At 43.7% G+C, this 14169-nt stretch overlaps 1 protein-coding gene across 7 annotated transcripts in view; it reads right to left on the bottom strand.

Annotated features, from left to right (window-relative positions):
* Positions 1 to 14169, bottom strand: part of ZNF236 (zinc finger protein 236) — a 150345-nt gene that overhangs the window by 99772 nt on the left and 36404 nt on the right. For 6 of the 7 annotated variants that reach the window (NM_001306089.2, XM_011526168.3, XM_011526169.4 and 3 more), the window contains 2 exons: positions 4267 to 4445; positions 1305 to 1429 (listed from right to left, as the gene is read on the bottom strand). In NM_001306089.2, the coding sequence (NP_001293018.1) occupies positions 1305 to 1429; positions 4267 to 4445 (304 nt within the window). Of the gene's footprint in view, positions 1 to 1304; positions 1430 to 4266; positions 4446 to 10840; positions 10945 to 14169 lie in introns of all 7 variants that reach the window. The other variant, XM_011526166.3, reaches the window with a different exon arrangement.

Raw genomic sequence — 14169 nt, 5'->3', positions numbered from 1 at the left:
GACTACACATTAAAGCTGAATACTCTACAGACACAATGTATTAGCACATTTACAAAGGCATTGTTTTCTTTCTCTCTTACTCTAGAAAATAAATAAAAACTGATGCTCTAAAAATATTAACTTTATGCTGACATATAAACATTGAAATCATCTGAATGACTCCACAATACTCTACATAGAAATATTCACTAAAACTCTGAAAAATAAAAAAAAAGCAATGTAACATAATAGAACTGCTTGACAAACAATAGCAGCCAAGCAAAATAGCTGTGAGATTTCTTACTTTATCACTATAAAAGAAAACCAAATCAAGAAATACAGAAGAAAACAAAAGGACAAAGCATGGATCATTTTAATTGCAAACCTCAAATACTAAAAATATTCGTACAATTTTCCTTTTTCCTTCCCTAGAGATCATGCGTGTTACTAATACAATATTATAACCAGGCTGCTCTTTACAAGATGGCAAAGAGTATTCAGCTATGAATGCTGTACTCACTTTCAAATATTCAAGCAAAACTAAGGAACAAGATAAGGCATGGAGAAATAGTTTTATTATTTCAATGTTTCATAGCGTAGTGAAGGCAAAATTATAAAAGAATATGAAAATCCACTGCTTCCTTGTTTTTTATTTTATTTGTTTTTAATTTTATTATTTTTAAGAGTCAGGACCTTCTTGCTCTGTCACCCAGGCTGGAGTGCAGTGGCACGATCATAGCTCACTGCAGCCTCAAACTCTCAGGCTCAAGCAATCCTCCCACTTCAGGGCTACAGGTGGGTGCTACCACGCCTGGCTAAGTTTTGTATTTTTTGTAAAGACAGGATCTCGCTATGTTGCCCGTGCTAGTCTTGAACTCCTGGCTTGAAGAGATCCCCTCACCTCAGCTTCCCAAAGTGCTGGGATTATGGATGTAAGCCACCACATCCGGTCTTTGTTAATTTAGCTCTAATTAGTGCAGTATAATATCTGACACACAGTAACAACAAATGAGGGAATAAATACCATACCAATAACAGTAATAACATCAACCCCCAATTATTAACAGCCTACCATGTATCAAGCACTTTTCAATGAGCACTAAGTATATTTGTTAATGTATAATTTAGGACAGCTATATACAGATAAAAGAGCCACATTTTTCAAGTGAGGAAATAAAATCACACAAAGAGTAACTAATTTCAGCAAGATTATCCAGCAAACTATGAGAAAGCTGGGATCAGATTCCAAGTCGAGCTAGCAAAAAGGCACCTGTTCTTCCCTTCCAGCCACACGGTCAGTCATCCAGAAGTCAGTGTTTTCATACCTGTGTGTATCCTAATGTGTCGCGTTAACTGGCTTGGCTTTTGAAACGTCTTTCCACAGTGCGGACACGAATACGTGAATCCACTTCTGTCGATATTCCGGTTATAAGACCTTGTACTTGATACCCTAGTGTAATAAAGGGGGGCAAAATACACAGTAAGATGTCTCCCTTGTACCATAATTTCAAAATGAAAATCCTACCAGAAAATTTGGCTGACTAGTCATCAGAACCTGTTTTAATGATAAATCAATCACATATATGTATGTGTCTGTGTGTATATGTGTTAGTTTTAAAAATCATAAAACTCATTTTTCTCTATTTTTGATGAAAAAAAATTTGTTTTTTCCAGGTCAAAAACAGAAATTGGGACAGGGGGAGCAAAATGTCTCTTCTAGACAAAGCTTTACCTGTGATGGTCAGAAACAAAGATGCTACGGGTATAATTTCTACACTGACACCTGACCCACACCACCTCCTCCAGTCTCTTGCTCTCCGCACCATCTGCATACCAATGATGTCCAAACTCCTACCTCCAGCAACTCTGCCTCCTCCTCTGGCTCCAGCCCTGGACAGCCAACTCTCACTTGGCATTGCCTCATGGGTGGTGTCCAAAACAGAACTCTTCATTGATTCCCAACCTGCTCCTTTCCATGTCAAGACACGAAAGCTCCCTCTTGCACAAATTTAAGTCTCAGGAGTCACACTGGATTTTTCTAGTCCATCTCCAAAAGCTGCTGGTCTTACTCTGAAACACCCCCAAATGTGGACATGTCTCTCCACCCTCTAGCCACCATTGCGGCCTCAGAACGGGTTCGGCTCTCCAGTGCACTGCTTCCATAGCCTCCAAAAAGGTCTCCCTGCTTTTGACACCTGCCCACACACCAGGCCCAGTGCCACCCGAAAGTCTGGTCACACCATTCCCTTTGTGCAAAACCCTCCAAGGACTCCCATCTCACTCATGGGAAATGCACATCCGCAGCCCCGCCGGGCAGGCTCTCCTCACCCCAGCCACCTTCCTGCTTCTCAGACCAGGGAGGCTCACTGCTTCCACCAACACACTCCTTCAGCCTGAAAGGTGGGTCCCCTAAGGCTGCAGGGCTCCCTGCTCCTCACCCCAGTCTCCTTCCAAAAGCCCCACTCAGAAAGGCCCACGCACAACAGCTGCCTCCCCAGCCTCCCTCAGCCACACTGCACACACCCATCCCACTGTCCTTCTTTCTTGACACTCACCACTATCTGAAACTGTGGTACCGACTAACCCACTCACTTGGTCACTACCTATCTTCTCACTAAAGGGCAGTTCTGTGAGGGCGAGGCTTCGTCTGTCTGGTTTGCTCCTCAGTCTGGAAAGACCTAGAAGCCAGGACTGTCTGAGTGCCACAAGCACCTAAACATCTTCAATCATCTTTCAAACCTCCAAGGAAACATCAAAAATGCCTGCATTAAAGCCTCATGAGAATAAAAATCTGGAGTGTATAGAGACCATGTATTATATTTGGGGGTTTAAAAATCACTGAAATTACCATCAAATTGGTTGGGGAAAAAAGAAAAAAAAAATCACTGAAATCATAAAGCATTAGGTGCGTACCACATTAGTCAACAAGAGGCAAAATGAAAAAGACAGGAGACAGCTGATCATACAGAGATGTCCAGTCCACATTTCTCAAATGCAATGTCTAAGAGGCTAAATAAACATTAGAGTCTTCAGGCATTTTATAAACTGTGGTAATCAACTGGCACGGAACTTCTTGTTGTTAAGAAGTACAGATATTTCCTAAACATTGCAGCTTAGAAGGATGGCAAGCTAAACTGATAATATAGTAGTTAAAATGATAATTGATACTGCCTTTATTTTATTTTATTTTTTTTGGAGACAGAGTCTCGCTGTGTCGCCCAGGCTGGAGTGCAGTGGCACGATCTCGGCTCACTGCAACCTCCACCTTCTGAGTACAAGCAATTCTCCTGCCTCAGCCTCCCGAGTACCTGGGACTACAGGCATGTGCCACCACACCCAGCTAATTTTTATATTTTTAGTAGGGACCGGGTTTCACCATGTTGGCTAGGCTGGTCTCAAACTCCTGACCTCAGGTGATCCGCCTGCCCTGGCCTCCCAAAGTGCTGGGATTACAGGTGTGAACTACTGTGCCTGGCCCAATATTGCCTTTTAGAGTTTGTTGGAGAAATTAGCTAAATTAGTGTGAAAACTGATTATCACCATTAGCTAACTTGAGCAAAGGGCCAGGAAGAATATTTTATTTCACTTTATTAAGAAACAGAAACATCAGTAAAAATATATTATCAGGAATTAGGCAAAATATAAAATTTTTAAAAACATGTTAAGTTTGACTACGAATAAATGTATAAATGCATTCAAATATAGTCAGTTGTTAAGATTATGAGCTCTAAAATCAGACTCTTATGGTTTAAATTTCAAACTCCTGACTTATAAGCTACAAAATCTCATAGAACTACTTGGTTCCTCTAATCTTGGTTTTCTCATCTGCAAAATGGGAACATAAAAGTACTCTGGCCTAACAGGGTTGTTTGTAATGATGAAATGAGGTTCTGTTTATATACACGCTAAGAACAGTGTCAGGCACATATGAGTTTTAACGGTTGGGTACCACAAACTAATTTATTAAAAGGAGTACTAATTAAACCCTTGTGAGTCTAGTTGACATATTTTGTTACCTACCCATAAACATGTATTGCCAGTATCCTGTTCTACAGCTTTCAACATTATAATACTAGGTAAACACTTCTACTCACATAGCCTGACACTATTCATTAATGTGTAGGGATGCACCATGCATGTTATAAAAGACGTTCTGACACCAAATTATCTGTGGGGTTCCACTTTGCTGGGTTCTTGCAGCAAATATTTCCAGTGGGTCGTACCAAAGTGCGCCAGCTTTTAACATATTAGATGGATTTTTGACCAAGCCCATGTAATGACTCATACCTAATTTTGTAATGAGTCTTCATGTGTTCCTTCAGCTCCGAGGAGGTCTCGAACTCTTTCTTGCAGGCCTTGCAGGCATGCTGCCGGGTTCCAGCCAGCTCCTGGCGGTGCTCCTCCATGTGCACGGCCAGCTGACTCTGCAGAGTAAACTCATCCCCACACTCAGAACAGATGAGATTCTGGAAGAGAAAACCCATCGGTGAGCAGAGCAAACCTTTCAAAACCACTCCTTCAAAGAACTGGTATGATCAACGGTTAATACACAAATTAAATGAAAACTACTTGGTCTCTCTAATCTTGATTTTGATCTAATACTTTCCTCTGGAACAAGCATCACTTTCACCTCTCAAAAATGTATTTGAATATACAAAAATCATTTCTTTATTGGAAGAAAAAGACAGAAACATTGGGAAAAGGGTGAGAGATTGACACAATTTTTGAGCAAAATGAGTTCTGCTTCGAAGTGGTGTTGGGTAATGGCACTGGGTCCGCCTATTCTGTGAGCGCTTTAGAGAGAAGTAGGATGACCTCAGCACTACAAAGGGTCAGGAAAGAATTCAAAGTAAGATTATGGTTTAAGAGACGACCTTGAAACAAAATGCCAGCTTCCAAGTTTTTAGTAGATAGACCACATCACTGTCTTGCTTGGTTCAGAGGCAGAGCAGAGTGCAGGCTGTGGCCCGGCTGACTGAGCGTGTGAACCAGGGACCCTCTGAAGCAAGGCGTGGGGTAACTGCAGCACACACACACACAGGAGTTCAAAGACTCCGAGCAAAAATACAAGAATGACAGCTCAGTAATCTTTCATATTTGAGTTCATATTTTGGACATATTTTAATAAATATATTAACATTTATTTCACCTGTTTGGGTTTTTTTTTTCTTTTAAAAATGTGGCTACTAGAAAATTTTAAATTCCTCATCTTTCACTTAGATGATGCTGGTCTAGATGTTCTACAGCTGGGTCTAGGTTCACCTTAAGGCTGCCAATCACTAGCTAAGCTGCTAGTTTGGGTGTGTTGCCCACCCTGAGCCTATGAAACAGGGATAACAATCACCCCTGCCCTCACAGGGCTGTTACGAGGTTAGACAAAATGACACCTGTAAGACGCTGACTGTGCGTGGCCTAGAGTGAGAACTCAATAATTACTTCATCAGTAGCCATTGCTGACTTAGTACAAATTTCAGTTAATTCACTCATTTGGAGTTCCATCACACAATTACAGTATTTACTTAAATGATCCTCAAAATGAACTGTACAAACATGAAAAAACATGACCTGTCAATGAGCATAAACTGTTATTTCCAAATAAAAATACATTGATTTTTTCCTATCAGACTTTTTTCTGATCTGCATATACTAGTCTTGTAAATAAATGTTTGTAAACCTCATTAAAATGAGGCTGTTAATTGATACTACCTCTAGCTACACTGCAGAAAAAGACAAAGAAAAGTGAAATGTTTTGAGAAATCCAAAAATCATTTAAATAACTTTAAAGTAGTATTATTGTATAATAATTTAAGGAAATAATAAACTACTAAATTTTTAGTGACTTGTTGATAAAAGAAAATTTGTTCTAGGAAACTCCCCACAAAAAAAAATCATAATTTGATGCAGCTCTTAAAAAAAAAAAAAACCTCTGCAGTCCTGAATGCATCTGAACAAAATGCACTGCTTTCATTACCAATGATTCCCCACTATGCCTCCTGTCTCAAAATCACATCACAAAACCCCTCGCAGCCCGCTCCTCTCCGTACTGATACTGCCCTGGCTCACACCCACCCTCTTTTCACTTACTCTTTTACCAAATGATCTGATTCATGTGTTTCAGGGATATCTACACGGATATTACTCAGGCATTTGTTGGATCTGTCTGAGTGACAACCCCAGTTTATGCACGACGTGCTCAGATGGTGCGAGCAGGATCCAGCACCTCCCAGGCCACAGCCAAGACCTGCCAGCTTACAGACGGCTACATCACTGTCTTTCTGCTTTCTCTCCTGCAAGCCAAAAAGAGCCACGATGCTCCTCCCTCCCCCTGCGCGCCCTGGCAACACTTGAGGAAGTGTTCTTCTGTAAGAAGAACAACACCCCATGTATAGTCACAGGCCACTAGGACAACGGGCCTTCCACTTACTGCACCCTCCATACAGAGTTAACATCACATCTCTCACCTAGAGGCAGAGGCTGTCCTGGGGTAATTCTCATGATGCTAAGTGGCCATGGGAAATCATCAAGAGAAATGCATGGCATTTTCATCTGTCTCCACCTTGCTGAAGATACGATCATCTCTAAAAGACCAGAGCGTGCAATGCTAGGTACTGACTGCATCAAGGCTGCTCTCCTGTCCAACCCCGGCCCTCGGATGGCAGCGTGTGTTCACCAGACTCCGAGTGTTTGGGATTTTCCCCTTCTCCGAATCCCCTCCAGGATCCCCCCCATCATCATCCTGTCTCCTGTCCTGGCCTTCTCAGAAGCCATGCTTCTTTTCCTAATGCAGTGTGCCTCTGCTGACCTCGGCTACTGCTCAACACACAAAATAAACCCCAAACCCACCCCACAAAACGCTGCTCTTCCCTCAACACTTACAGAACCTGATCCATCACTATTCATTTGTACGTGCCACTGAGATGATCAATAAATGTGAACAATGTCTTCCGTGGGAAAGTTGTTTGTGTTGAGTGTGTGTGGGCATGCATGTGTTGTTTCTCCAAACATTCTGTAACACCCCTTAAGGGAAGTGATTTACTCAAAAAATAATGTGACCTTCAATAATTATGTGACTTTTAAGAAAAATTCCTAAGTGATTTAAAAACTACAGTAATTTTTCTGGTTTACTCTTCTGGGTTTGAGATTTATTTGGACAGAGTAGTGACCAGTGTGAATTTTAGACTATAAATCTCAATAGAGCAGTAACTAAAAATTAGATTTCAGTGTTCTGAAAGTAAAACTTAAAAACGGAACACCTTAAACTAAAAAGTTAATTTAGTTCCTAAGTATATTTAAGAAGACATGTTTACAGGTTATTTTCTAAACCAATTTTAATGAGGCATACTTTACATATAACAAATGCACCCATTTTAACTGTAACTTTTTACTACTCCAATCCAATGTTGATGATTTCAGAGTTTAACCCTTAGGAAGCAATTTTAGTCCTATTTCCAAGGTTTCAGGGGACCCTGCACTGGTGCCCCCAATACTGTCTACACCCAACAAACTGCTGGGTGCTTCACTGACTTTCATCTCACTTCATCTTCAACCTCACTGAAGGAGCAACAGCAGCTCCCCCAGACCTCAAAGTACCTGCACTTTCTACCAAACGAAGTGGCTTTCTTCAGAAGGCTCTCTGAATGTCCTAAGTGGTGAATAGTTTAAAAAGCAATAATTCCAACAGCTGTCACTAGTTGAACTCTCTACCTGCCAGGAACTGTGCTGGGCCATTTTATGTTTGGAGTAAGTTTCTTGGAGACAATGTATTGTTAGATCATATGAGAGGTTTTTTTTGTTTTGTTTTGTTTTTTGTTTTTTGATGGAGTTTCACTCTTGTGGCCCAGGCTGGAGTGCAATGGCATGATCTCAGCTCACTGCAACCTCTGCCTCCCAGGTTCAAGCAATTCTCCTGCCTCAGCCTCCCAAGTACCTGGGACTACAGGCACCCGCTACCACACCCAGCTAATTTTTGTATTTTTAGTAGAGATGGGGCTTCACCATGTTGGCCAGGCTGGTCTTGAACTCCTGACCTCAGGTGATCTGCCCGCCTCGGCCTCCCAAAGTGCTGGGATTACAGGCGTGAGCCACCGTGCCCAGCCAGCAATGTCTTTTAATTCACGTACTTACATTTAAAGTAATTATTGGTATCTGAAGGCTGAAGTCTGTCATTATTTGTTGATCGCTCACTGTTTCTTTTCCTCTGCTTCTCTTCTTCCCTTCCTGGATTACTTTTTAGAATTTCTTAGAATTCATTTTGATTTATTAGTAGTATTTTCGAGTACATTGCTTTGTATGGCATTCTTGGAGATTGTGCTAGGTAGGATTATACATACGGAACTTATCACAATCTACTGGCATTGACATTTTACCACCTTGAGAGAAGTACGGAAAACCTTATTTCCATTCAGAGTCTTGTACCGTTTTCCCTCTTTAAATATCACTGTCCTGAGTATTTCCTCCATGTACACTGAGCACACTAGATGATAATTTCTGCTTCGACCATCAACTATGATTTAAGAATTCATAAGGAGAAGAACAGTGTATTATATTCACCCCAATTTTGTATTCTTACTTATTCTTTTTGTGTTAGGGTTTTCCAGAGAAACAGAACAAACACATGTGCGTGTGTGTGTATGTGTGTGTAAATATTTGTTGGCCAGGTGCGGTGGCTCACGCCTGTAATCCCAGAACTTTGGGAGGCCGAGGCGGGCAGATCACCTGAGGTCAGGAGTTCAAGACCAGCCTGGCCAACAAGGTGAAACGCCATCTCTACTAAAAATATAAAAACTAGCCGGGTGTGGTGGTGGATGCCTGTAATCCCAGCTACTCTGGAGGCTGAGGCAGAAGAATTGCTTGAATCCAGGAGACGGAGGTTGCAGTGAGCCGACACAGTGCCACTGCACTCCAGCCTCGGCAACAAAGTGAGACTCTGTCTTAAAAAAAAAAAAAAAAAAAAAGATATTTGTTGTAAGAAATTGTCTCATGATTATGGAGGCTGACAAGCCCCAAATCTGCAGCGTGGGCTGGCAGATGGAGACCTAGGAGAGCTGATAATGTAAGTGACAACCAAAGGCCGTCTGCGGGAGAATCCCTCTCACTTGGGGAAGTCAGTCTTTTCATTCTATTCAGGTCTTTGACTGAAGGAGGCTCACCCACATCATGGAGGGCAATCTGCTTACTCAATGGTTTAAATGTTAATCTCATCCAAAAACACTCTCCACGTTCACACAGAAAATTAACCACCACACCATTCTTCTTTCTTTTCTGAAGTTCCAAGCCTCCTTCTGGTGTCATTTCCTTTCTGTTTGGAGATCTTTCAGTGATTCTTTAAGGGTAAGTCTGCTAGCAAGAGTTTGTTTTCCTTCATCTAAGAATGTCTTTATTTCTCCTTCGTTCCTGAAGGACATTTACCACATATAGAATTTGTAGCCAGGCATGGTTGCTCACATGTGTAATCCCAGGACTTTGGAGGCAGAGGTGGGAGGATCGCTTGAGCCCATGAGTTCGAGACCAGCCTGGGCAACACAGCAAGACTCCGTCTCTAATTTAAAAAAAAAAAAAAGAAGAAGAATAATTTGTAATTGACAATTCTTTTCTTTCAGCAATTGAAAATTTTTGTGCTATTTTCTTTTAGCTTCCATGGAGGCAGATGAGAAATTCGCTGTCACCTGAATCAGTGTTCTTCTGCAAACAACAGATCATTTCTCTCTAGTCTCTCACAAGATTTTTTTCTTAGGTTTAGTTTTCAAACGTTTCATTATGATATGTCTTGGTGTGTATTTCTTTGGGTTTATCCTGTTTGGAATTCTTCAATCTGTGAGTTATGACTTTTACCAAGTCTGGGTCGTTTTCAGCCATTATTTCTTCAAATACATTTCCAGCCCCACACTCTTTCTCCTATCCTTTGTGATGACCATGATGCAAATGTAGAATTTTCTGTTATTGTCCCAAAGTTCCCTGAGGCCCTGTTAATTTTTCTATTTCTTCTCTGTTGCTCAGCCTAAGTCATTCCTGCTGCTCTATCTTCAGGTTCTCCTCTGATTCTCCTCTGTCCTCTCTGGTCCACCAGTAAGCCCTTCTGCTGAGTTCTTTAGTTCAATCATGGGATTTTTCAGTTCTATAATTTCCCTTTGGTTATTTCTTCTATTTCTTTCTTCTGTTTTTTCATTTGTTTCAAAACTCATAAAGCATTTTCTTGACAGCTGCTTTAAAGTACTTGTCAGGTAATTCCAATGTCCAGGCTCTCTTCATATTGATACCGCTCTTTCCTTGTTCCAGCAGGGACTGTGCTGGCTCGTGTCTGTGTCCTAGACACTTTGGGTGTTAAACTGTGGGACCAGCTCTTGGGCTCTCCTTTGAGCAGCAGCTGCCCTGTTCAGATGCAGTGTAAGGACCAGCAGCAGCAGAGACCCATTTCGCAGAGCCCCACTGACCGCAGTGGGAGGAAAGCACAGTGCAGACTTGTCTGTCTTGCATGGTTCTGTCTCATCACTGATGGGGAGGGAGGCCCAACTCCCTAGTGGACCCACTGACACACTCTGGAGGGAGAATCAGAACACTCCCTGCTTCTGCTAAGGGAGGATGGAAGCCGGGCTTCCAAAGATAGACTCTGCCAACACGCTGGGAGGGGAATTCTGGGTGTCTCCTCCCTCTGCCAGGAGAATCCCCCTCCTGGATGCAAGGTTAGCTCCCTGCTTGGGCCCAAGCACCGGGGAAATCGAAGTGCTGCCAGCTCCCAAGGGACGGGGGCAGAATGGGATAGAAGTTCAATGCTGTACTCGGCTCCGCTGAGCAGCTTTTCAGTTGGCATTTCATTGGAATTGAGTAAATACCATAAAAAGATTTTCTGTTCTGTTGGACCAACCTTTTCCCAGTACTGGCTAAGGGAAACCAGCTTTTCTTGGAGTGTTTTTCTTCTCCGCTTGTTGGCAGAAGGCTGCAGGCTTCTTCAAAACCGTGTCCAGGTGTCTGGGAAGAAAAAAAGAAACCCAGGCCGGGCAGGGTGGCTCACGCCTGTAATCCCAGCATTTTGGGAGGCTGAGGCAGACGGATCACTAGGTCAGGAGATTGAGACCATCCTGGCTAACACAGTGAAATCCCATCTCTACTAAAAATACAAAAAACTAGCCGGGCGTGGTGACGGGCGCCTGTCGTCCCAGCTACTCGGGAGGCTGAGGCAGGAGAATGGCTTGAACCCAGGAGGTGGAGCTTGCAGTGAGCTGGATCGCACCACTGCACTCCAGCCCGGGCGACAAGAGCGAAACTCTGTCTCAAAAAGAAAAGAAAAAAGAAATAATGGGAGCTGACGGCCACATTATTCCTCAAGTCCCTCCAACCGTCCGCCACCTCTGATGCCTTTCAGAGTCCTTCTGTGCCTGTTGGCTGGTTATCTCTAACAATAGTGATACGGGGGACCCCTAGGAGAAGGAAGCTGCTCCACTGTGGCTGGAACCTTAGAGGTTATTTTTAAATACAATTAAAGGTAAGAAATTATCCCTCTAGTTACTATTAATATGCCATATTCAAATCAATTAACTGAAAAATCAAACACAAAATGCAAAGGCAGCAAGGAATGTATTATTTTGACATACAGGGAAAAGACTTTTAATTGTGCTCCAATACTGATTCTTCCTTTCTTATGCAATAATAGACTTACTGGCTGAGCATACAGCTAATCAACTCAACACTATTTCGCAGCCGCCCAACCACTAGATCACTGGCCTGATGACTACGTTCTACCCAACTGAATGTGAGCAGGACTGAAATGCATCTTCCAGATAACGCCTTTAAAGAGAAGCAGTGCACCTTCCTCCTCCCGTTCTCACTGTAAACCATGGTTCAGAAGCAAAGAACTCAGAGATAACAAATGAAGATGTTGGACAAACCTGAGGGCACGGCTGCCCTACCAGCTCTGTACCACATACGCCAGCCTGCCAGGTGAGGGAGGCACAGTCACAAACTCTGACCTAAGCATCAACACAACAGTTGGAAAAAAGAGAGCCAACATATTGCCAACACGTTATTACAGAACAAGCACAATGAGGCCTTTTTCCCCTCTGCTCATGTAAATCTTGAGCTCAGTATGAGGGTGCTAAGTTCAGGTGGCTGAATGTGACAGCCCAACTTCCAGAACCCTTCCTCCGGCAGCACAGACACACAGTGCCAAGGAAGCTGTGAAGCATCCTCACAGCTCCCTCACCAGCTTCACGCCAGACTTCAGCAAAGCCTCTTCCATGACTCTTCCCCGCTTTCTTCTCCTGTTAGCAGTTATTAATCAAAGACAGCCTGCTGTGTGCTGAAGGGAGAAACCAGAAGCAGGGGTGAGTAGTAATAGAAATGTAAAGTCAAGCGATTTCAGAAAACACATATTTCTCAAAAGACTTTTCAAAAAAATTTAAAAAGGAGTCAGAAGCGAAGGAATGTGTAAGTTCTTACAACCACAACAGCAAGAGACGAAGGGAGCTGGAGTTTTACAAACAGAACTGAGGGTTTGGATGAGAGTAGGCTGCACAAAGTTCAGATGATGTGGTCCTACCCAGGAGACCACGGCATAACAAAACCACACAACAGCAGAGGCAGGGACTGAAGCAAACAGCAAAGAATGTGAGCACCACTGTGGGAAGTGATCTGGAAAGAACCTGGCCCATCTGTGGAAGAGAAAACAGGACGAAGGGAAGGTTTTCAAAATAAGGTATAAATACTTTAGAACATCTGCGAATGACAGCTAACAGTTGTTTCTCTTTCCAGTGATGGAGGAAATCACAGTGAAGTATTAAAAGGCACATCTGAAGGAACTTCAGAATGGAAAACGGTAAAGCTCACTGTGCTGGTGACCCCTGTAGATGGGTGTAGCCTTAGAGGTAATCTTTGCCCTTCATGTCGTCCTCGGGTTGGGCCACCCAGAACATGTGGCATGCACAGACATCTTCAACCACCTTTACCTGTGTCATCCTAACAGAGGGTTCACGCACACCCCTCAAGTTTCACCTCTCTGCCTAGACCACACGGCTCAACATTTCAGCTCTCCCGCCAACATTCCCATGGCCCTGACTCCTTTGTTATTCCACAGCACATGCTTCAGAAGCCCCCACCTCCAGGCAAACCACCATCTCCACTCCTCCCAGCGGCTGAGCGGTGGAAAGCAGACCATACCCCCGCCCAGCCCAGACTCCACAACCAGATGGGCTCTCAGCTCCCAGGGCTACCCACAGATGTGCCCCACTCAGGCTCTGCTCTCATTTCCCAAAATAGGCACCCCATGCAGATCTCTAGATGCCTCAGGCCACCCCATGTTTTTGGTGAAGACAGAGTAATGTTTCCATTTCCCAGAGAAATGTGGGCTCTAAGGCCTCAGCCCCAGCCCATGAACTGAGGCACTGCAGTGCACCATAACAAGCTTATGAGGAGGCCCAGGAATAGGTCACATGTTCAAGGGAAACAGCGGTGCTCCACACTTGACCAATAACACCCAGAAACTAGATTGAGGTACTTCAGTTTCAATAACATCATGTCTTTGTGAAGCTAAGTTTCCACGGTTGCTGTGGTTAAAGATCAAAGATGAAGTGAAGAACCACGTGGAAGAGAAAACTCCAAAATCAATGTACGAATGATTGTAAATAGGAAATGCAAGGATACAGACGCTGTGCAGTACCCAACACACCCGGGTTGGTCTTTCAAATAACTATTAAGTTATTAAGACAGAAATACTTACTAGATCATACAGATCTAACTGGTTAATACGCAGACCCTTGGGTTCTGCCTGAAAGTCTATAAAAAACTTCATGAGACACTAAGAAAGCACAGTCTGAGGAAAGCTGGGAACACGTGCAAGACATACCAGGAGCTGCTCCACTTCCACCTCCACCTGAGTCCTCTCCCCCTTCCTCCTCCACCTGCACCCGCCTCCACCTGAGCCCTCTCCCCCTTTCTCCTCCACCTGCACCTGCCTCCAGCTGAGCCCTCTCCCCCTTCCTCCTCCACCTGCACCCGCCTCCACCTGAGCCCTCTCCCCCTTCCTCCTCCACCTGCACCCGCCTCCAGCTGAGCCCTCTCCCCCTTCCTCCTCCACCTGCACCCGCCTCCAGCTGAGCCCTCTCCCCCTTCCTCCTCCACCTGCACCTGCCTCCACCTGAGCCCTCTCCCCCTTTCTCCTCCACCTGCACCCGCCTCCACCTGAGCCCTCTCCCCCTTCCT

Source organism: Homo sapiens, chromosome 18 (assembly GCF_000001405.40).
Source record: "Homo sapiens chromosome 18, GRCh38.p14 Primary Assembly".
Taxonomy (NCBI): domain Eukaryota; kingdom Metazoa; phylum Chordata; class Mammalia; order Primates; family Hominidae; genus Homo; species Homo sapiens.
Note: the sequence above shows the minus strand (reverse complement) of the source record. Positions and strands in the feature narration are given on the sequence as shown.